The sequence below is a fragment of the Homo sapiens genome, chromosome 5 (assembly GCF_000001405.40).
Source record: "Homo sapiens chromosome 5, GRCh38.p14 Primary Assembly".
NCBI classification, from domain to species: domain Eukaryota; kingdom Metazoa; phylum Chordata; class Mammalia; order Primates; family Hominidae; genus Homo; species Homo sapiens.
In genome coordinates this window covers 153,953,442-153,977,400 of record NC_000005.10, presented here as the reverse complement: position 1 = coordinate 153,977,400, position 23,959 = coordinate 153,953,442, and the positions used below count along the sequence as shown (strand labels likewise).

The window sequence follows — 23,959 nt, the reverse complement described above, 5'->3', positions numbered from 1 at the left end:
GGGCTAACAATGTTTATCTCATAGGGCTGAGTGCTCCTCAGGTAAGATAATGTTCATAAACCAGCTGTCTGTATCAGAATGTCCCAGGAAGATGTCAGCTGCTATTATTCTTTGTTCTCAGGTTGATGTACACAGAAGCAATACATCTCAGTTGAGACGAATTCTGTCCTAAGGTGTGAGTTTCTGTGTTCCTGCTTATATGAGATTGTTTTCTCTGTATCCTAGGCATGTTCTTCAGGGGGCTGTGACTTGGGGTGCAGTGGAAGAAGGGGGCTTATCAGCAGGAAACTATCTCCAGAGTTGCCAGAAATCTGGATTAGGATCTACAGAAAATGTTGTCTGTCAGGTAGTCTGGAACTACAGATAAACAATACTGGGGTCAGAGGCCATGCGAACTATGAGCAGAAATAAATGGCCACTGGGGAACTTACATCTGTAAATTGTTGAATTTCAGATGCACTAGCTCATGCATGTCATATGTACATGCATCATCTGGTTACGCTTGTGTCATTACATTATATCAGGTGACCGCATACCCATTCTGATAGCCCACAGGAACCCCAAAGGCTGACCCCAGGCTGTGCAGTGCTTAGCAGGGGCTCCGGGTCTTTCCTGGGGTGTTCTTAACTATAGCACCACCAGTCAATGTTGATGTGTGAGCTGGGATGTTTCCCTCATTCATAGTCCTGCCCTACTTGGCAGGACTGGGAGGAAGGAGTCTGAGGTTCTAGTCCCATGGCAACAGTTTTCTTGTATCATTTTAGAAATGTCTCCCTCCTTCTGTGGACCTCAGTTTCTTCTTCTGTAAAATGGGTTCCTAATCCCTTCCCTGCCCACCTTGGAAAGTGGCAATGAGGCTCTAATTGAATAATATAATAGATGTGAAAGTGTTTTAAGAAAGCTGAAAAAACCTGATACACTTATAAGAGTGAGGAGAGGGAGGATGGGAGGTGGATAAAGAGGAAGCAGATCCTGATCACTGCAGGTTGTGTTGTTAAGCCAGCCTCTCACCTGAATCTGTTTTCTCTCCATCATCCCCTCCAGGGTTTGGCAAAGATGATTACAAGAAGACGCCGCGGAAAGAGAAGGGGAAGCTGCAGAGTAACCTCCGTGAGGAGCAGCAGAGGTGGAGAAGGTGGTGAGTCTCCTGGACCCCTACTGGGTCAGAACAGTCAGGAGGTGAGGCTTATTGGTCATAGCCACCAGCCCGTATGGATGTCTTGCTGGAGTGACTGCGCTGCCCAGGTCGGGCTGATCCTAGTAAGTAGGTGTCCTGGGAAGAGGAGAAGCTGGCTTTGCTCAGGGATAAGAGGACCCAGGAACAGTGCTATTGGCCATCTGAAGTGACTTTGGTGCTTCATGAATAAACCAATCAACATTAAATAGCTATATGGATGGATTCAAAACCCACCTATAGAAATTAACAAGTTGGGCTGAGAGGCCTGGGAAAAGGGACTGTGGCTTCATAGGGCAGTGGTGACTTTATGGCCACTGTTCCTTTCTCCAGAGCTGAGGAACTTGGCTGCTGATTCCGAGCAGAGTTGGGGAAAGAGTTCCCGCTCCATCAAAGAGTCATTTGTCTAAGTCCGGTGTCTAAGAAGTGGTATTCCCAGAAAACATTCTCCTTTCTCTCTGGACATGTATCTTCCAAGGAAACATCTCTTTAACCTGTGTCGTTGCCTTCTGGTTGGAGCAGCTTTGGAGATGTCCTAAGGTAGGAAAAGTTAGTTTTCCCCTTCCACTCCCACAGATTTTCTCTGGTTGCTTCTTTCTCCTCTATCCTCTCCTTTCAGCTCCTCAATGCCTGGGGCCCTCTCCCTCCTTCTACCTTTATCACGCTCTCTGGAAAGTATCTGATAGCAGCTGTTTATATTTTAGGGTGAATTAGGTTAAGGCCGTAGGCTTCTAAAAGCTACTGTCGGAATTTGGACTAAAGTATCTGTTTCCCCAGTGCCATGTTTCCTTCACTGTCCCAGGTCATACTTCTCTGTCATTGCTTCTCAGCGTAGCTCCCTATAATAACTTGTTTTCCTGTTTAGTGCCCTGTGCATGTTCCATACCTAGCTGGGTCTGGGGAAGGGGGAGGTCCTCTGAATGCAGTGGGGGCTCCAGATATGGTGGGAGGACCTAGCCTAGCCCCAGGACCCTCATGTGGACATGATGTCTCCCTGGCAGGAGGACAAAGGCAGTGAGACGGACAGCAGCAGCAGTGACAAGGAGCTGGCAGGAGTGCTGGTAAAAGGCATCAGACTGTGGTCTTGGACCCAGTACTCTGAGAGCACACAGGGAAACTGAGTCCTGGAGGGTGAAGGAACTTGCCAGAGGTCATGTCAGGAGTCATAGGAGAGCTGGGTTGGGCCCCAGAGCTGCTAAATCCCAGGGCAGAAGTGAACTGAGTGGTGAGGCATAGGACAAGCTCTGGCCAAAGGGCTGATGTCACCCCAGGGTGGGTGGAGAGAGTGCTCAGTGTCACACAGGGAATCAGAGCAGGGTCAGACTCAGACCAGGGTCCCTTGACTCCCAGCACAGTGCTCCTTCCACTGCCCTAAGCAGCCTGAGTTTTCTGACCTTGAGTCTGGAACCTCTGTCTAGAAGAAAACTTTGGGTCTCTCTAGAGAACCACCTATACCTTTGAAACAGACACTGTAGAATTACGTGTGGGACCGCAGAGATTGGCGTGGTTCCCAGCCCTGCCCCTGAGCAGATGGGGGACCTTGAGTACATCTCTTACTGCCTTTGTGGCTTTAGTTTCTGCTCTGTAGCCCTAGAATTAAAAATTCGACAAATAAAACTGTTTCGGATTCCAGGGCATTTGGCTCCATCTTCTGGTCAGTTTTTGTCACTGTAGCTTTTTGCAGCATTGCCTGCCATCCAGTGTGACCTGAGAATTTTGAGGCTTCTAGGAAACTTTCTGGCTGTGGTGGGTGGGAAGTGGAATAGGACAGCAACAGAGTTATCCTAAAAGTCTAGGGAATTTCTGTGGTCTTTGGGTCATATTGGCGCATGTTATTCAGCCTTCTGCTGATAGTGGCTCGGTAGAGAGTCAGGGAGGCAGCCAGTGATGGACAAGCCCAAGTGTTAGAGGAGGAAGGTACATTGGAGAACAGTGAATGTAACCTCCTCAATGTACAGGTGCAGAAACTGAGGCAACCTTCACCTGTGGAGAAGTAGAGTCTTGCTTCAGGTCACACATGTAGGTTCCAGGTTTCCTGACACCCAAATCCATACTGTCCCCCACTCTGTCTTGCTGCCTCCTCTTTCTCCCAGCTTTCTATCCCAGCTGATTACCTCTTCCCCTTGCTTCTGAGACAGGGCCATCAGCCTAACAAGCACACTGCTCCATCCACTTGCTACCACAACAACCCACTCCCTCCTGGTCCCAGCTCCAGCCCTCATGAGGTGGAGTGCTCCCCTCCCACCCGCCCATCTCTCCAAGCCACAGCTTTCCTGGAGGAAATGGAATGAGGACATGGAAGGAAGAGGGAGGCAGAGGCCTACATTCTCCTCCAGCTCTGCCCTTTTTCCAGCCCAGCCTCTTGGATCCTCAGTCTTTCCATCAGGTACACAATCAGCTCCATGAGATTACTGAGATTAAATGGATGGTTGGTGTGAAGGTGCTTTGTGAATTCTTGAGTCCCCTGTTAAAATAGAAATTCAGATATGTCTGGGTTCTTCTCAAGCCACATAAAACCCCAGGTGCTGATTGGTACCAACTTAGCCCAGGTGCTATGGATCCTCAGAGGAGGGAGATGCATGGAAGCTGGAGGAATTTGAAGGCTTCAATGAGAGGGTAGTACTTTATTTTTCAGCCCAGAACGTATCTCGGAGGCATTCCCACTGACCCAGAGTCCAGTCTTTAAAAGCTCAGCTGTAATGGAAGAGGCACAGGAGGATTAATTGACTCTTGTATCCTCCCTTCTCTTCTCTGGAGATAAGATGTATGGCCTCTAGTTTATTTATTTATTTATTTATTTATTTTTTAATATGTGTATATTTTTATTATACTTTAAGTTTTAGGGTACATGTGCACAACATGCAGGTTGGTTACATATATATACATGTGCCATGTTGGTGTGCTGCACCCATTAACTCGTCATTTAACATTAGGTATATCTCCTAATGCTATCCCTCCCCCCTCCCTCCACCCCACAACAGGCCCCAATGTGTGATGTTCCCCTTCCTGTGTCCATGTGTTCTCATTGTTCAGTTCCCACCTATGAGTGAGAACATGCGGTGTTTGGTTTTTTGTCCTTGTGATAGTTTGCTGAGAATGATGGTTTCCAGCTTCATCCATGTCCCTACAAAGGACATGAACTCATCTTTTTTTATGGCTGCATAGTATTCCATGGTGTATGTGTGCCACATTAATCCAGTCTATCGTTGTTGGACATTTGGGTTGGTTCCGAGTCTTTGCTATTGTGAATAGTGCCGCAATAAACATACGTGTGCATGTGTCTTTATAGCAGCATGATTTATAATCCTTTGGGTATATACCCAGTAATGGGATGGCTGGGTCAAATGGTATTTCTAGTTCTAGATCCCTGAGGAATCACCACACTGACTTCCACAATGGTTGAACTAGTTTACAGTCCCACCAACAGTGTAAAAGTGTTCCTATTTCTCCACATCCTCTCCAGCACCTGTTGTTTCCTGACTTTTTAATGATTGCCATTCTAACGGGTGTGAGATGGTATCTCATTGTGGTTTTGATTTGCATTTCTCTGATGTGTATGGCCTCTAGTTTAAAGAGTGAAGCCCAGAGAAAGAGGTAGACATTGAAACCTTTCCCCACTTGGATCTTCAGCTCCCAGTGCAGTCTTGTTTCTGTTAGAACTTCAGAGTGCTAGAGAAATAGAGAATGAGAAGGGTAGCCCTGCCTTTCTTGTGTGCCCTCAAAGGCAGGGAGAAGACTGCCCTCCACAGAAAGCCCAGTTCCTAGTAAGGCAGCTCTAATCCTTTGAAAAGTCTCACTCAGCATTTCTCAAGGGTGGTTCTGAGACCCCTTGCACCAGAGTCACTGGGGGTGACTTACTGAATCAGACCGTCTGGGATGGACCTGGGAATCTGCACCTAAAACAGCCTCTGCAGATGAGGCACGTTGAACTTCAGGAACCACAGATCCCCTTCTCTGGCATCTCAGGAATAACAGCCCCTTGCTCTAGAGACAGTTCTTACCAACTCTTGCTTACAGGACATGATTTTCTCTTTTTTAAATGTTCTGCTTCCTTGCCATTTTCCACGTTCTCTGTTTTTCCTAGTCTCTATGTTTTTTTTTTTTTTTTTGAGACAGAGTCTCTCTCTGTCACCCAGGCTGGAGTGCAATGGTGCAATCTCAGTTTACTGCAACCTCCACCTCCCGCGTTCAAGCAATTCTCTTGCCTCAGCCTCCCGAGTAGCTGGGATTACAGGCGCCTGCCACCACGCTTGGCTAATTTTTGTATTTTTAGTAGAGATAGGGTTTTGCCATGTTGGCCAGGCTGGTCTTGAACTCCTGACCTCAGGTGATTTGCCCTCCTTCCTTGGCCTTCCGAAGTGCTGGGATTACAGGCATGAGCTACTGCGCCTGGCCTCTATACCTGTTTTGTAAGTAGAATATCATAGAATTTGGGGGGCTAGAAGTATTTGTAACAGGGTACCTTATCCAATTCCTCATTTTCTAGCTGGAATATTTTAGACACAGCAGGGTAGTTCCTGGCCTCAGACCACACAGTGCTAATAGGAGACCCAATCACCTGACTTCGAATTGAGTACTCTTTTCACCATGCAGTTCTGTCCTGCTGTAGGAGCCACACTTTAGGGTGAGTGTCCATCCCAGACCCCTTCTTAGATGAAGGAATGGACCCCTGAAGCTATCTTGGTGACTCTCCTTGGCTGAAACTGTTAGACCAGGAATGGTCATCTTGAAAGGGAGTTATCACTGGGCGTTGGAACTAAGAGGTCAAGTAGACTCCAGGGTTGAGGTGGTAATTTTCTTTCTCTCACCACCTCGAGGGTTGAGGTGGTGACAGAAAGGGTGAGGATGGAGAGAGGAGATGGGGAGAGACAGGGAGAAAATCACATACATTCAACAGGGAGAAAGACACAGAGACACACACACAGAGACAGGGAAACAGAGAGAAAGACACCGAGCGAGACACACAGAAACACAGATACACACACACAAGAGAGGAGGAAGAGAGAGACACACAGGAAGCAAGAGACTGAGTAAAGATGGGGGGAGGAGGCAAAAAGGGAAAACACATTCACAAAGAGATGGAGAGAGACAAAGAAATATAAGCTCAGACACACAGGGAGAGAGAGACTGGAATAGAGAATCCAGATTGATTCAGAGAGAAAGAGATAATGAAAGAGAAAAAGTCAGAGAGACAGAGACAGAGCGCCTGCCCTGGCACTAGGTGTTTTTCCAGTTTTTCCCAAGGCCCAGCTGACCTTCTTGCTTTTGCCTTCTCCAAGACACCCCCAAATCTTCCCAAGAAACTCTGACTCTTGAACGGGCCTCAGTAGGTTTCTTTTTCTTGCAAAGACATGGTTCTCAACCAACCCAGCCTTGGAGGGACTTTGAGGAGGGGCCCTCACAGATACAGCAGGGAAGCAAATGTTGCAAGCTGGGGAAGCAAATGCTCCATTCTGCTCAACAGATCGTCTGTCACTTCTCGTTATCTCCAGGACCTGGAGATGACTCTATTCCTCAGCCAAACATCAACAAAGCCGCCAACTCCCAGTGGTTGGTTTGGTGTCTTGTCAACAGCAATCTTCTTGGAACAAACTCTCTGCTCACATGGAGCAGAGTTAATTAGGCTTGGGCTGTGCTCATTGGCACCTGCAGGCCTTTGCTGACTGATGCTTTTCCTGCCCTAGGACTGCACTTACTTTCCTCTCTGCTCATGCTTGACCCAGCTAACCTTCCCACTCCCAGTGAACCTGAGGCACACACGAGTCCTTCCCTTTGTAAACTTTCCTAGTGCCTACTGTCTCTCTTCTGTCCTTTGTCCATTTTGCTCCACAATTATGTACATAAAGGACTGTATTACTAAGTCATGAGATCCTCAAGTTACCATGTGCGTGGAAAAATCACTAAATTCACATCTTTTCAGATAATAAAGGCCATTAACAATATGGAAGTTTATTTGGATGCTATGAATCTTTCAGGTGCTGGTCTAAGCACTTGTTACTTAGTAATTCATTTGATCCGTTCACAGAACAGGGACCTAGGGCCCAGAAAAGTTAAGAAACTTGCTGAAGGTTAGATCTTCAGTAAATGACAGAGGACAAAGATTTCACGGCCCTGTTCTTCTGCCTTCCCATGTCGCTGGCCAGAGCCTCAAAATCTGCCATTGTAATTTTGTCCTTTTACTTTAAGGCTGTAATTCCTATAAAGTATAGGTTTATTTTTATTTCATTATTTATTTATTTATTTTTTCTGGCAGAAGGATAGCTGAGGAAAAGAAGGAAGGGAAGGCTTCCCAGATCATCATAAATTACCTCCTTTAGAGCTAAAATGTCTGAAAAGCCAGCTCCCTCCCATTTTCTGATTGTGACCACTGGAACACTAGTTTCTTGAGATGTTAAATAGGTTTTATTAAAGAAAAATGAAGCTGTCAAGTAAGTGTGAGAAACTCGAAGTTAAACAGTTGCCTTGCACCATGACCTCACAGAGCGTTAAGATGCTGGGGGCACTGGGCCTATAAGAAGGAGAGAATTGTATTCACCACACAAATTTCACCACAGGCCCTGTTCTTGCAGATCACTTCTCAAAATTAGTTCCTTTTTCATGAAAGTTTCTTTGAGAAAGCACTATCTGAACCCATTAGATAACGAAGTCACCATTGCCCACAATTGCTCGGTGTTTTTAGGGCTCCCTGAGGATGGATATCTGGCTCTCCTTCACTGGCATTTGGTGGGCTTGCCTGCTGGTGATGTCTCAGGTAGACAAGTCTGACTGACCCAAACTACCCACATGCTGTGGCTTGGATGGCCTGTCACCAACCAGCTGCTTTTACAGCATCAGGACCATGGAGCTTGTCCTTGCTTGACTTCCCTCACTCACTCAATGACTCACTCATTGTTTTAGAAACTGTTATTAGCACCTACAAGGTGCTAGACCCTGGAGGGATCCCTGAGGGAATCAGAACCTACTCTTGGACTGGGATCTGTTTGGGTGGATCAGATGAAGACACAGGGAAGGGGGAGAGGACAAAGGGAGGATGCAACCACGGAGAAGGGAAAGCTCATTTCCAGCTGTGGGGATCGGGGGGAAAGGTTGGATGCTGGCGGGGGTGGTCACCCAGGAAAGGTCCACTCACAGCTGGATTTGGGAGGGTGACAAGTAGTAACAGGTAGAGCTTGTGGTTAAGAGTGGGCAGGACTCTCCAGGGCAGTGGCAGCAGGTGAGCCCTTGGCAGGTACCTTGGCCCCCTTGGCCCCTCTCCAGTGGTTGAGAGTGGTGGAGCCCACAGCAGCTGCTGAGATTCTCAGAGCTTGAACGTGGCCCACTCATTTGACCATCAGGACCCAAGGGAGGAAGTGCCCTTCTGTGCTCTCCTCCTCCATGGCCAACACTCTGCAAATTGGTGAGGGAGGAGGAGGCGTTTGCGTCTGGGAATCCGGGAGGGCAGGGTGCGTCGGTCTGTCCTCAGAGTACCCGCAACCTGCGGAGGGACTCACAGCCCTCTGCTGAATGAATGGGTGTTCACTCCTGCTCTGAGCCCTTTTTCTCCCTGCTCTGCTTTCTTTTTATCCAGCGCCTGGTTTTGGCACCTATCCATGGATCTACTGAAAGGTGAGCTACTCTAGACATCATTTTATTTTCATCTGAAGCTCTTGAAGATCAAAAAAACAAGCTGCTTTTCACAAAATCGAAAGAGTCCTGGAATGTCAGAGTTGAATGAGCATTGAGAGGGTGCACTGACATGCAGAATGGTGGCTCCTGAGGCCCTGTGACAAACAGAGGGTGAACCAAGAGTAGAGGCAGGCTTCTATGCAAACATTTCTAGGCGATATTGTAAATAATACAGTTGTGTATCAGAAAGAACAAAGATTCTGAAATCCAGCTTGCTTCATATTCCAGTCTCACCTACAGACTGTGTGAGCTTGGTTAGGATTTTCTCAAGCCTTTGATTCTCTCTCTGTAGAATGATGATGTTGTCTATCTAAAAAGATGATTGTTTTTAAATGAGATAAAGCAGATGAAGGTGCTGTGTGAATTAACACACTGCTGTTGCGTGAGGGAAATGACTCTCCCACCTGGTGTTTTAGACCTGGAGCCTTCTGACCACAGGTTCTCAAGGATTTTTAGTTTCTTGCTTGCTCCACATTCTTTGTCATGTTGCTCTGAAACCTGCCTCCCTGTCACACCCCAACCCTCTCCTACACTGGGTTTTAATATTTTCCTCCTGAGGCTTTCTCTCCCAGATAACCTTAAGTGAGCCACATAAGCTCTCTGAGATCTGGTTTCCACATCTGTAAGACAGGCTAACTCTTTGTTCTCAACTATTTGTTGAGATTTTGCAGATGAAATGAGATAATATATACACATGTACATCATGCACAAGTGACCCTTCACCACTCCGAGTTGGAACTGTGCGGGTCCACTTACACTCAGATGTTCTTTTACCTCCGCCACCTCTTAGACAGCAAGACCAGTCCCTCTTCCTCCTCCTCCTCCTCCTACTCAATGTGAAGATGAGGATAAAGACTTTTATGATGATCAGCTTCCACATAATAAGTAGTAAATATATTTTTTTCTTCCTTAGCTCACTTTAGGGTAAGAGTACAGTATATAATACATGTAATACATAAAAATGTGTATTAATTGGCCAGGCATGGTGGCTCCTGCCTGTAATCTCAGCACTTTGGGAGGATGAGGCAGTCGGATCATGAGGTCAGGAGTTCGAGACCAGCCTGACCAACATGGTGAAACCTTGTCTCTACTAAAAATACAAAAATTAGCTGGGCGTGGTGGCACACACCTGTAGTCCCAGCTACTTGGGAGGGTGAGGCAGGAGAACCGCTTGAACCCGGGAGACAGAGGTTACAGAGAGCCGAGATCGTGCCAATTACTCCAGCCTGGGTGACAGAGAGAGACTCCATCTAAAAAAAAAAAAAAGTATTAATAGACTGTTTATGTTATCCGTATGGCTTCTAGTGAACAGTAGGGTATTAGCAGTTAAGTTTTGGGGGAAGTCAAAAGTTAGACAGAGATTTTTGACTGTTCCTGGGGTTGGCTCCCTAACACCCACGTTGTTCAAGGGTTAACTGTACTGCAAATAATGTACATGTATAGAAGGCGTATAATACATGTATATGTGTTTCATAGCACAGCGCCAGGTAGGGATGCTTATTAAATAGCTTGTATTTCTGATTCCATTTCCCTGTTCACACAAGTCGATATTATTTTTTCACTGGGGGGATTAGAGAAGGTTTCCTGGAGCAGGTGAGAATTGAGCTGGGCTTTGAAGGACTGGAGAATGTTCACAAATATGGAAGAATGAGGGTGTGGTTGGGTGTGGTGAGGGGAGGTTTGGAACAGAAAAATAAGTGGGAAGTCTCAGGTTTGTTTAGGGAATCAAGAAGAGGCCATTTTGGTTCGAGCTGATGGTTCATTGGGGGAACCAGAAAGACATAAATTTGAAAGAATAGATTGCAGTTCTGGAATTAGAAAATATAGAGTTGGAAGTGACCCAGGGGGTCACTGGCCCAATCTTTTATCTGCAGCAGGAATGAGTATGTGCGGCATGGTAGTAATGATAGCCTAGTCTGAGGCTCAACTCTCCTGTGTGTTCTTGGATAAATTACATGTCATCTCTGATCTGAATTTCTCCTCTGTGTGACAGAAATAATAATCCTTGACCAGCCTCCTCTGTTATTGTCATGAAAATTTAGGGAGGTTTGGGCTGAGGATTCATTAAGAAGTTGGGCAAGGGACTCCTTTCTCTTCTCCAAGCCTTGATTTTACTGTCCACACACACACACAAAACAAAGACCCCATCTGCCTCCAGGGTGTAGAGGTTGTGAGTCTAGCCAGGTTATAGGCACCCAGGAGGGGAGAGGAAGGCAACCTGGGAGGGGCCCAGGGGAGTGGAGGGGCTGCCGCTCTAGGCACAGCCAGGATTCTTTCTCACTCTCCCCACGGGCTTCTACTGTGGGGGCTCCTGTGGGTCCCACAGCTGGAATTCTCTCCTTGCTGCCTGCCTCTTCTTGCTGGGATGGGTCACACAGCTCATGGGTGACCAGCTCCTGATCATCCATTCCTGCACAGCCAGCCCCTGGATGCCCTGAAGGAGCTATGCCAGCTTCCCCTCTTCTCTCCATCATCTCCCTCCATCTCCACCCTGACTTTAGTGGCTTCATCTCCTAAGCTCATTCTCAAGGAGAGACCCCATGAGGGCAAGTACCTTACTATTCTGGACACTCCTGCTTTTTCATTTCAGCATTAGCATCACAGTTTCCAAAGCACCCTCCCTGTTGAGAAGCATGCCAGGCAGGACTCCTGGCCACATTTAGTGGGTGGGTAAATGGAGACAGGCCAAGGGAATGCCCCTGGGAGAGACAAAGCTAGACTCCTAGCCTGGTGCTCTCACACGATTCTGGAGGCTCTCAAACTTGGAGGGGCATAAGGATTGGGAGTTTGGTACAACACAGACACCTAGGCTGTCATCCCTAGAGAGCTGATCCACAGCAACATCAGGGGAGCCTGAGCATTTGTGTTTTTGATAGGCACTTGGGGATGGTGACATAAATAAGTTTGAGGACCCCTGCAAAGTACTTCACCTTTGAGATCCCAGGAGTGAGGTGGAGACATCCAGAGGGAAAAGTAACCTTTACGGAGTCACCAACTCTGTCGGGCACTTTATGTGCATTTTCACCATAGAATGAGACACTACTATTCCCGTTTCATATATAAGCAAACTGAGGCCTGGGGAGGTTAAATGGTTTATCCAGTCTCACAGCTGGTAAGTAGAAAAGCTGGGATTTGAACTTGGGTCTCATAGCTCCAGGGCAGCCTAAATTCCTTCTACCTAAACCTTTCCAGTGCAAACATCCCAGGCCCCTTCATCCTCATATCTAAGGCTCCTACCTGTCTTTTCTCTCTGGGGTTAAACATTACTTTCAGATCCCCCAGCCAGTGGGAAAGGTCTCTTTTCTTTGCAATGCTCCTCTTCAGCCAGCAGGTGTCAGCCCTGGACTGAGTATGTGGGTAAGGGGCGTGCAAAGCTAATGGGAGGAACGTAATCATTTGTTTTCCTCTCCCGGTTTTATAGCCCCTCCGTCCCTCCCAAATTCTAGCTATCCTTTTAGATATGTTTTTGCTAAGCTGGTGCTGTTACCTCACAATCTTCCAGGTTGGGATGCCCCAGGAATTCCGAATCCCCTAGAGCCATCCGGTGGTAGATTTGGAAGTAAGCTGCAGCTGTAGTTTACATTTGCCAAGTATATGCTTGGCACCCTGTTCCGAGCTTTCTATGCTTTACCTTGTTCAGTCCTCCCCATCCCCACAAACCTCCCTGGGTTAGGTGCTAGCAATTCACCCGTTTTCTCAGAAGAGGAAACTGGAGCTTTCAGAGGCTAAGAAAGTTGGCCAAGGTCAAGTTGCTGGGTATGTGGCAGAGCCAGGCTTGAACCTAGAAGCTCTGGCTACAGATCTGCGGAGGCGCGTGACCATTACACTCTCTTTTATGCAGATGAGGAAACTGACGTCTCGGCAAGGAAGGGATTTACTCCTGTGGAACCAAGTGCCAGGATGAGAACCCAGGACTTGTTGTAATTCTGGGCCTTCTCTAATTCTTGCCCTTGCCCAGCTGTGGATGAGGGCTTGGGCAGCAGGGAATCCCTGGGGAGGCTCCCCACCTCCCCACCCTCCCCAGGCACCAGCACATCGACCAGACAAAGGATAATTGGTGCATGCTGTGCTCAGAGCCAAGCTGAAGCGGCAGGGTCTCGACACCCCTCCATGCCCGGGGGGTGTGGCATCGCAGAGCAGGGACCTTGTCAGTCCTGTCACCATGCATCGCCAGCTCCTCGCAGGGTCTGGCATGGAGGTAGTGCTCAATTCATATTTATGAGTATGTAGACATTCCTCCTCTTTGGCTTTCTCCCGAGGCCCTGCTCCAGGCTTGCCGCAGGAGAGCATGGGTGGCCCTGAGCCAGCGCATTCCTCCTCTTTGGGGTCCGCTAGCCTTTCTGGGGGCAACTCATTTGGTTTCTTAGCATGAACTACTTGTTCTCCAACTTTCCAGATCGGCCATTTATCTCTCCTGCCTCCACTCTAGACGGCAAGACCCTAGGGGGCAACCTCTCAGAACACCTTATATGCTGCCTGGTGTCTAGCAAAAGATGGAATATAAAATAAACTATTTATGAAAAACTATAATCCATTATTTTATCCAAGCAGTACACATTCATTGTTGCAAAATGGAAAATAAGCTAAGGGAGGAAAATTAAAATCATTCCCATGATAATAGGATCCTTTCCTTCCATGATATTTTAATGGAATTGATTTTTTCCCTTTCTCTTTTTATTGTATAAGAAATACATTTCTTGTACAAGTGTAAAAATTACAGATAAGCATAAGCAAAAATGTTTTAATTTATTGGGAATACCACTTTCTAAACCTGTTAATAGTTCCATTAACAATTGTAATGGTAATAACCACCTCTATTTGTTGAGGGCCTACTATGTAATAGCAGTTTTACATAATTTTTTAGAAGTTTATTGAGGTGTAATTTCCATATATGAAGTCCATCCATTTTAATTCCTTAATCATTTCAATTCAGAGTTTTTTTAGTGAGTTTAAAAAGTTGTGCAACCATCAGCATAGTCCAGTTTTAGAATATTTCTATCATCGCAGTAAAACCCCTTAGGCTCATTTACAGTTAATCCTAGTTCCTACCCTCAGCCCCAGGTGGCCACTAATCTACTTTCTGTCTCTGCAGTTTTCCTTTTCTGGACATTTCATATAAATGGAATAACATACTAGATGGTCTTTTGTGTTTGATCTGTACACTGATGATTTTAGGTTCAGCCTCTCATTTACAGATGAGGAAACTGAGGCTTAGTGAGGACAAGTGATTGCTGGACATAGTTACACAGGGAGAGACTGGGGCTTCCTGGATTCAGCTGAGGTCTGTCTGACTCTCAAGTGTAAACTTGTAGCCACCCTCCTCCACCACCTTGTCACATTACATTACTTTTTATGTTCTAGCTGTTGCAATGATATATTCATATATATTTTTTCTCCCAAAAGGATCAAACTTATACATTCTGTTGCCACTTCTTTTTCATTCAATAATAGATCAATAATAATAACAATGAGTAGGATGTCTCCATGTGAATTAATATACGCCTGCAATACCTAGAGTAGATTTTCGATAAGTACAAGGTAGCAGTTAAGGGTATAGGCTTTGGAACCAGACTGCCTGGATTTAGATACCAATTCTGTCACTTATCAGCCATATGCTGTAGACAGAATGTTTGTGTCCCCCCAAAATCCACATATTAAAACTTAATCCCCAATGTGAGAATACTTGTGGGGTTTTGGGTAGGTAATTGGTTTACGAGGGCTGAGCCCTCATGGATGGGATGAAAACTCTTATAAAAGAGGCTCCAGAGAGATCCCTCTTGTCTTCTCTTCCTCATGTGAGGAAGACACAGCAAGAAGTCGGGTGTCTATGAATCAGGAAGCTGGCCTTCACCACACACTGAATTTGCTGATGTCTTGGTCTTGGACTTCTTAGCCATGAGAACTGTGAGAAAGAAATCTCTGTTGTTGATGCTGGAGAGGATGTGGGGGAAATAGGAATGCTTTTACACTGTTGGTGGGAGTGTATATTAGTTCAACCATAGTGGAAGACAGTGTGGCAATTCATCCAGGATCTAGAACCAGAAATATCATTTGACACAGCAATCCCATTACTGGGTACATACTCAAAGGATTATAAATCATTCTGCTATAAAGACACATGCGTATGTGTGTTTACTGCAACACTATTTACAATAGCAAAGACTTGGAACCAACCCAAATGCCCATCAATGATAGACTGGATAAAGAAAATGTGGCATATATACACCATGGAATACTATGAAACCATAAGAAAAATGAGTTCATGTCCTTTGCAGGGACATGGATGAAGCGGGAAGCCATCATTCTCAGCAAACTAACACAGGAACAGAAAACCAAACACCGCATGTTCTCATTCATAAGTGGGAGTTGAACAATGAGAACACATGGACACAGGGAAGGGAACATCACACACTGGGCCTGTTAGCGGGTTGGGGGAAAGGGGAGGGAGAGCACTAGGACAAATACCTAATGCATTTGGGGCTTAAAACCTAGATGATGGGTTGATAGGTGCAGCAAACCACCATGGCACATGTATACCTATGTAACAAATCTGCACGTTCAGCACATGTATCCCAGAACTCCAAAGTAAAATTATAAATCATGCTGCTATAAAGACACATGCACACGTATGTTTATTGCAGCACTCTTCACAATAGCAAAGACTTGGAACCAACCCAAATGTCCAACAATGATAGACTGGATTAAGAAAATGTGGCAGATATACACCATGGAATACTATGCAGCCATAAAAAAGGATGAGTTCATGTCCTTTGTAGGGACATGGATGAAGCTGGAAACCATCATTCTCAGCAAACTATCACAAAAAACCAAACACCGCATGTTCTCACTCATAGGTGGGAATTGAACAATGAGAACACATGGACACAGGAAGGAGAACATCACACTCTGGGGCCTGTTGTGGGGTGGGGGGACGGGGGAGGGATAACATTAGGAGATATACCTAATGTTAAATGATGAGTTAATGGGTGCAGCACACCAACATGGCACATGTATATATGTAACTAACCTGCACATTGTGCACATGTGCCCTAAAACTTTAAAGTATAATAAAAAAAAATAAAAAAGAAATCTCTGTTTTTGATAAGCAACTCAGTGTTTTGTTATAGCAGCCCAAATGGACTAAGAGACCATGTGACTTTAAGACTGTTACTTAACTGCTCTGTGCCTCAGTTTCCTTATCTATAAAAAGCAGATGTGAATGCCAATCTCATAAGGCTGCTGTGATAATTAAATGAACTAATATATGGAGAGCACCTAGTGCCCTGTAACCACTCAATCCATGTCAGCAGTGTTTGTTGCAACTGTTGAACTCATGAACAAACCCCAGAATTTGCACATCAATTTCAGCCTGGAAGCAGGCATCAAGGCGGGGGCACCACTTTATCTGACTAATCAATGAAGAAGGTCATATGATCTCCCTCCCACCTCCCCCACAGCTGGAATCTCAGCTGTCTCTGGATTGTCAGAAGAGGCCTGGTGAGGTCGGAAGATTGATAGCCTTGTTCTAACAGGAAGTCCCTTCCCGGGGAATTTAGGAGCTGAGCTCCAGAGCTGGGGAAGATGTTAGGATCAGTTCTAGTCTATGTGGTAAAGGGCCCCAGGGCTCATGGAACTGGGGAGGTGTCAGCTCCCATTCGGGTCCAGGCAGTACCTTGCCGAGGCTCCAGCCTGGCTTCTGATTGCCTGTACCCAGAAGCCAGAATGCTGTTACAGCCCCATCAGTCAGCCTGCAATTAGTGAAATGGAGGCACACATGCTGGTTTGCAGATTGTGGGTGGGAGGACAGGATGTGGTGGGAAATAGCTCTCACCAACTCAAGGGGCGGGGGTGGCATTTGTCTGTGTTCCCTGGTGATTTGGCAATAGAGGCTGCCGGGCACTCACATGGGGTTGGCAGCCTTTGCAACCCTCTTGGGGCCTTGGGCTCTTTCCTTCTTTCTGGTTACAGGTGGGGACATTAGCCCCTTGTGTTGGTAAGGCCAGAGCCAGGACAATCAGGCACACGCTGGGCATGGGGCACAGGGCTAAGGACAGGTGTGAAAGGAGAAAGGCCTGGCTGTGCAGGGCTGAGGACAGGGGTGAGAGGGGCAAGGCCTGGCTGTGCAGGGCTGAGGATAGGTGTGAGAGGAGTAAGACGTGGCCATGGGTGTGGGGTGAGGGACCAGGAGCTGCCAGGGTGAGGGGAAGCTCAGGCTGGGGTGCCGGAGCTCACCCCAGGGAAGCAGTCTTTGTAGGTGCCTATGGTATACATGCATGCATGGAAGTATTCAACAGATATAAACAACCTAAAGAGTTCTCATGGAGGTCCAGGTTTCTGACTTCTCTTCCCTGTCTGAACTGAAGGTTCAGCCACACAGTTTATATTTCTACAAGGCAGCATCCAAGCTAGGCTGTGCAGTGGCTTCCCTCTTTGGATGGGGCACCTGCTTTCCGGTTTGATACAGTCTCCACTACTCCCCTTCATCATCCAGCCCGTGAGTCCAGTGCCAGTGACCATTTGTCCACCTACACTGGGCCAGTTTCCTTCTTTTGAGTTTGTGGCCTTTGGCAGGGATATGCTGTGCTCAGGACCTGGCTGTCAACTCAGGGCAGTCAGGAGGCTCTGGAGGAGTGACTTCAAGCTGACACAGGGATGCCCAGCTCATCCTATGAAGAGTGTTTCAGGCAGAGGGTATAGCAAGTGCAAAGCTCCCGAGGCAGGAATTCCTGGAATGGAGTCCCCTGGGCTCTTGGAATTCCTGGAATGGAGTGCTTAAGACAGACTACACATTGAGAAGTGGAGAGAGCAACTTTCATTACAAGTTAGAAAGATATCCCAGCCAGGAGAGGGAAGAGGCTTCTGGACAGTGCAACAGACGGGAGGGCTCTCCAGGGTAAATGGGATGGTGGGGGGCTAAGCTTCCCAAGGCTTTTCTGCCCAGAGAATCTACAATCTACAGAGGCTGATCTGGATTCTCAGGAATGTCCACACATGTTTCTGATCATTAGGAAATTTGTGTGCTCCCCTTTTGAGGGAGCTCTCAGTAGACTGTCCTCACTCAGCAGAGTCTGAGGCTCTTTTCCCAGTTCTAGTCCATGCAGAGGTCTGTCTCCTTGGCTGGGACTTGATATTAGGGTCAGGGCCTGCTGCCCCTCAGCCTTGGGTCTCAGAGGGACGCTCCTGCACAGCTGACTGTTCTGCAGACTGACAGCCCCCAGGAGCCTGCCCATAGCGTGAGAGAGCAGATTTAGGGTTGCGAGTGGTGATGGGGGAGACCAAATGCCTGTGAAGAGCTGCCTTTTGCATTCCCTTTTAGGCTCTCCAAAGAGAGAGAGAAGGCTGCTCAGCTAAGCTCTCTATGTGGCTCCCTCTCCCAGGCCCCAAAGAGGCAACTGGACTCAGTCCTGCTGGCCCAAGAGCCAGCCTGGACACAAAGGGCAGGAGCCCAGCAAGGGAGCAGAATCCTGAGCGGGCAGGGGCTGAGCTGCAGGAGGACTAACTCCCCACGTGGGGCCATACTGAGCTTTGGGAGCATCTTGAAGTCTCAGAGAACACAAAGGCCTTTCTGTTCTGTTTTAAATACAATGGATTTTTCTCTAATTGTGGAAATAATGCATATGTATTTAATAGAAAATGTAGACAAGAACACAGAGAAAAATTAATACTTCCTGTAATTTCACCACCAAGGTTATACTAGGAACCTTTTACTGTCTATACTTCTGGGAGTTTAATCAGCAGAGGGGCACTCACAGCGGGGTGACACTGACAGTGGGGGCTGTAGGAGGTGAGGGGTACCCTAGAGTCAGAAGACCTGAGTTCAAAACCTCTTTCTGATACTCGTTGGTTTCACAGCCTTAAGTGAATGACTTGGTTTCCTTGTGCCGCAGTTTCCTGATCTGCAAAATGAGGATAATGGCATTGTCCCTCATGGGGCTCTCTAGAGAGTTAGGGCAGTGAGTGGATTCTGCTCAGCACCTCGTAAACAGTCAATACATCTTAGCCAGTATGTGTATGTCTATATAAATATACATCCATTTAAAAAATACAAGATGAGGAAGATACTGACCACACTTATTTTTGCACTTAGCTTTTATCCTTGGTATGAATTTTATGCCACATGTAAGAAGAGGCAGGTTAGTTCTTTATACCAAATATTTTCTGATTGTATGCACCTACTCTGTCTCATTGGTGGGCTCTCCATGTTCACCCTTTGAGTTTCCCTAGAACTGGCTTGGAAATAGTGCAAGTCTTGTCTTGGCCCCTTGGTGTGTGTCATGATGTGGAGTCATTGCCATATGTGCAAAGTCCCTTGAAGTTGGGCATGCTGCAGTTTCTGTGCCAGGCTTGCCAAGAGAATCTTTGCCAAGATGGGGAGAGGGGGCTGGGACTTAGGGTGGAATGCCCTGGGACACACTGCCACCATTCCCCTGAGGACCGTCATCAGGCTGTGGCGCAGAGGGGATTGGGTGGTAAGAGAGGCAAGGGGATAGTCCCGCAAATCTTTCTCCTGCCCTCTCTTCTCTCACCTCAGTCTCTCCCCATCAATAGTTTCTCCCTATCCTCTGCAAATTGCCCCAGTGAATTTAGAATTTGGAACAAAAACCCAGAGAGCAGGTTTCCCTGCAATACGTATCTCCCCTGAGACCAGTGAGCACAGTCACATATAGGAGAGAAGAAAACTCAGAGAGAACAAAATACAACAGCTCCCATTTTTCCTGATTCTTCTACATAGTAAAAATAAACACCAACTAATATCTCAACTTATTATTATATAGTGACATTACACAGTGACTATATTTAAATGTCATTAAGAAATCTTTTACTGGGCAACCTTTATTAGCTGCAAGAGATTCCAATGTGTCAATTATTTCCCATTTTCCCAAAACTACATATATAACTGTAATGAACATCCTGATACCTAAATTGTGGATGGATCTCTGATGTTTTCTTAGAATTTTTAGAATTGACCTCACTGAGTCAAAGGCTCTGGCTTGTGTTTAAGGCATTTGGTCTTTTTTGTCCTCCAGACTGCTGTGCAAACACCAAGTCAATCAGCAATCTACAAGGTCCTAAGTTCTTCTCACGAATAGGAGAGAACTTCTTATCAGGCATGAGGGACTTTGTCAGACTTGGCTTTGGGGCACGAGTGGCCTTCTATTTGCAACATGTCCTGATAACTTTGTGGAATCCAGCGGGGAAGCTCCCATGGTTACTTTGCACCAGGCAGAACATGCATCCTTCCTTGGCTGGCTTCCCCAGCAATAGGGGAGTAAACGTGGAGATCACCTTACCTGGCCCTACAGATGAGGCACAGAGACACTTTAGGTCTTAGGAAGTGATGCTGCTTGCACAGCCCTGGGGTAGCTTTCTGGTTGGGCGAGAGGGTCTTGAAGAATGTGGGCATATGCACAGGACCACACACACCACAGGCCATCTGGTGAAGCTGGCGGATGGGGAGTGACAGGCACTGAAGTGGCAAAGGCCTCTCGGACTTTGTATCAGTGCCAAAGGAGGAAAGGTCTTGCAAGAGGCAGAAGTGGGCAGAGATTGAGTTGGTCAGAGGGAGAGAAGTCGGGAAGGCAGAGACAAGAGGGAGGGGTTCATGTTGTTTATTATCAGCAAGTCTCATGCCACAGCGGGCATCTCTCAAGAGGCTCCCTTGTGTTCACTCTCAGTGGGTCCTGGCAGAAGGCTGCAGTGGCTGTGTTATGGGCAGAGAAAGGGTCATAGGATAAAGCCTTGGAGTTCTGATGGCCTTTGGGGCATTTAGGGGAGGGGGAGACTCTCCCAACGACAGATACTCTCTTCCTTATTCCTAGAATGAAGTGGCTTTTTCCCTTCCAAAATTTTTTCCCTGCAGCTGCTTTCAAATGCCCATTTGCAAACTGGTGTAGGTCTGTGATGGAATTTCATTTGTGGCAAGCTGAGAAAAAAAAAGAACTGCAAAGTGAATTTTTAATGAGGCTGGATTTATTTAATTTTAAACACTGTCCTTTATTCTAAAGGAATGATCTTCCTTTTGGTGCTAAAATGCTCTTTCTTTTATGAAATGACTATTAAAATAAATGACATTTTCTTTTACTCTCCTCACTTGGCAATTGAAAAAGCTGGAAGTTTTATGTGGATACCTGAATATGCATATCCCACCCCCACTCTCTGCTTTGTGTTTGTGTGTAAGTTCATCTAGTCAAAGAGAATCTAAAAATTTGGGTTCTACTGGGTGAAGTCCTCTCAAGGGTAAGCCCAGCTGATAGCTCTAGTTCTCATCATATTGGCCCTTATCCAACAAAGTCTTCATTTCACAAACATTAAGAGCCCACTGTGTGGCAGGCCTCATACTAGGGGCTGTGGTGGTGGGTTTGTCTGGTGGTGGAATGAGCCCTACCTGGCTAAGCTACCCATGGCCTTGACCCTCCTGTGGTCTACTGAAAATACCAGCCCCTCACCAAGATATCCATGCCAACTCACTGGAACCTGTGAATGTTACCTTATTTTGCAAAAGTTGTGATTAAGTTAAGGATCCCAAGAGAAGCAGCTTATCTTGGATTGTCTGAATGGACTCTAAATACAATCACAGTGTCCTTATAAGAGAGGCAGAGGAAATTTTGAGACAGACACACAGAAGAGGAGAAGGTGTTGTGAAAACAGAGACAGGGATGCAGCCCTAAGCCAAGGAATGCTGGCAGCCACCAGAATCTGGAAGAGGCAAAGAACAGAGCCCCCTACAAGAGTCTCTGGCGGGAGTGCACGCCTGCTAATACCTTGATCTTGGACTTCTGGCCTCCAAAACTGTGAGAAAATAAATTTCTGTTGTTTTCAGCCATCAACTTTGTGATATTTTGTTATAGCCACCACAAGAAACTAATATACCTCTCATCAAGTCAACAAGAGGGGCAAAACAGGGTGAATTATTGGGGCCTAGATGTCCTGAAGGGGTCAGGTTGGACTGCATTGCTTATCAATACAAATCCTGTCTAATAACTTTTAGCTGGCCCTCCCTTGCTTGGAATCTGCCAAATCTTTTTTACCAATATCTGGACTGGATCTTAGAGGCCTGGCCTCCCACCCATCCTGCTTACAACTAGTGACATCAGAATGTCAGCTGTAAAATTTCCTCCAAAATGCAAAGTGTGGGCCATGTTTATTTTATTTCTCTAAAACAAACTTAATCTGCTGCAAGATTTCATCGTTATGGATGGTGGGAAAATAAATTTCTGTCATTCCTGGGCTCTTTCTTATTCCATAGCATGGGAAAATGTCCTGAGGTCTTGTGCACTTGGTGGGCAGCCTGGACTTTGTGTCCACACAAGTCATTCCTTGCCCAAATCTATGTGACCTCGTTGCAGGTGGCTTTGTGCCTTCTGTGCCAAGCTGGCCCATGGAGTCATGCATGGTGTCAGGGCACAGCCTCTCCAGATGTGCCACAACCTCCCCTTTGATGTCCTAGCACTTCCTAGGGCTCTGCAAGGAGCAGGATATACCCACAGACTACAGTCATTCATCCACTTAGCCCTTGAAGACATTTCTTTTGCTTCTTCCTCTGACTCTTTCTGCTTCTTAAACTCCCAAACTCACATCTCTCCTTCCCTCTCTGTAGCAATCCAGAGGAATCTCCCTGTTTTATGGACTGAATTTTGTCTCCTCCACATTCCTACATTGAAGCCCTAATCCCCCAAGGTGACTGTATTTGAAGATAGGGCATTTAAGGAGATCATTAAGGGTAAATGAGGTTATGGTGAGACCCTAATCTAATAGGATCAGTGTCTTTGTAGAATAGGAAAAGTACCAAAGGTCTCTCTCACCCATGCACAGAGGAAAGTTCATGTGAGGACACAGTGAGAAGAAGGCTCTCTACAAGCCAGGAAGAGAGGCCTTACCAGAAACAAGCCCCGGTGGCACGTTGATCTTGAACTTCTAGCCTCCAGAAGTGAGAAAATGAATTTCTGTTGTTTAAGGCACCTAGTCTGTGGTATTTTATCGTGGCAGCCTGAGAAGACTAAGGCAGCCCCTCAGTGAGGTTAGGTTTTTCCAAAACAGCAGCCCAGTGGGGAGTTGCTCTTCTGATGGTCTTGCTGCTCTTTCGATTTGTCCAGAAACACCTGAGCCCCTGAGGAAAGGGAGCATGCTGCAAGGACCTCTACGGTGATGTTCAGGGAGAGGGATGCACCTGCAGCCTCTCCATAGCATGAAGGGCAAAACATCAATACACAGTGAGTTCATCATTCTGCCATCTTAGCCCTGGTTCTGTTTGCAAACACAGATAGCCCACGTCTGCCTCTGCCTGCCCACTGTCTAACTTGCTGCTTTATGCTCCTTTAATTAAGGGCAGAGTCCTCAGGGTTTCCCGTGTCAAATGGAGCTCTCCAAGTTCTGATGTGAGTGGGGAGAAGAGACACCATTGATGACAAAACCCCAGAGGTGAGAAGGAAGGAAGGATGGACTTTTACTGTCACTGTTTCCCGAAATACATTTCACAGGGTAATAGTACATTTAAAAAAAGAGTGTACGGTATAAGATTTGGGAACTCATTGGTTGAATTAAATTAAGCTTTTTAAATCTCAAGGGGAAGCTCACATATGCAGTCTTTACCAACAAATGGGACCACTGAACTGCTTTTCCACTGAGCATCTTGCAGGATCAGTGCTTGGTGGAAGCCATTTTGGAAACTGCTGATATTCACTGGAGAACTATAAAATATAAGACCTAGAAAGGGACCACTGAGATCATGTAGGCTCAAGCCCTCAGGTTTAAACTCGGGGAAATGGAGGGTCAGGAAGGTCCAGGGCCCAGGACTTGCCAAGGTCATCTGGTTGAACTGGGGCTAGAACCAGGTCTCTTGATTTTCAGCCTGGAATTCTTGCTTCTACACCCCTACTGTTTCTTATGCCGATTAACATGGCAATCCACTGGAAAATGCTAGCTCTGGAGGGACTCAGCCAGGCATCCGGCTTTAACCTGACTCTGACTCATGGGCAATGGCTGCCTGGTGGTGCTTGATTTTGATAGTGAGAGGGCTTGGAGTATACTCAGAATCTTACCCACTTTTTTAAAAAGAAAAAAATATTTTGCATTTGATAAATCAAATCCAAATCTATTTTATCCAGCACATTTCCTGCTAAA

At 46.5% G+C, this 23,959-nt stretch overlaps 2 long non-coding RNA genes across 2 annotated transcripts, besides 3 other annotated features; both read left to right on the top strand.

The window, feature by feature from the left end:
* The first annotated feature begins 211 nt into the window (after positions 1 to 211).
* Positions 212 to 3,367, top strand: LOC107983980 (uncharacterized). Its single transcript, XR_001742534.1, has 3 exons — positions 212 to 346; positions 1,045 to 1,138; positions 1,508 to 3,367. It is a non-coding gene; the product is annotated as an uncharacterized LOC107983980 (long non-coding RNA).
* A 70-nt stretch (positions 3,368 to 3,437) lies between these two features.
* Positions 3,438 to 23,546, top strand: LOC107986464 (uncharacterized). The gene is made up of 3 exons (XR_001742937.1): positions 3,438 to 3,560; positions 22,933 to 23,049; positions 23,164 to 23,546. It is a non-coding gene; the product is annotated as an uncharacterized LOC107986464 (long non-coding RNA).
* Positions 16,836 to 17,442: an enhancer, noted in NCBI's record as "OCT4-NANOG-H3K27ac-H3K4me1 hESC enhancer chr5:153339519-153340125 (GRCh37/hg19 assembly coordinates)". NCBI's record gives its function as "activates a minimal SCP1, AML or CMV promoter by ChIP-STARR-seq in naive H9 embryonic stem cells {active_cell/tissue: H9 hESC(naive)}" and the evidence as "EXISTENCE:reporter gene assay evidence [ECO:0000049][PMID:30033119]".
* Positions 17,443 to 18,049: an enhancer, noted in NCBI's record as "OCT4-NANOG-H3K27ac-H3K4me1 hESC enhancer chr5:153338912-153339518 (GRCh37/hg19 assembly coordinates)". NCBI's record gives its function as "activates a minimal SCP1, AML or CMV promoter by ChIP-STARR-seq in naive H9 embryonic stem cells {active_cell/tissue: H9 hESC(naive)}" and the evidence as "EXISTENCE:reporter gene assay evidence [ECO:0000049][PMID:30033119]".
* Positions 18,050 to 18,657: an enhancer, noted in NCBI's record as "H3K27ac-H3K4me1 hESC enhancer chr5:153338304-153338911 (GRCh37/hg19 assembly coordinates)". NCBI's record gives its function as "activates a minimal SCP1, AML or CMV promoter by ChIP-STARR-seq in primed H9 embryonic stem cells {active_cell/tissue: H9 hESC(primed)}" and the evidence as "EXISTENCE:reporter gene assay evidence [ECO:0000049][PMID:30033119]".
* Positions 23,547 to 23,959: the final 413 nt, after the last annotated feature.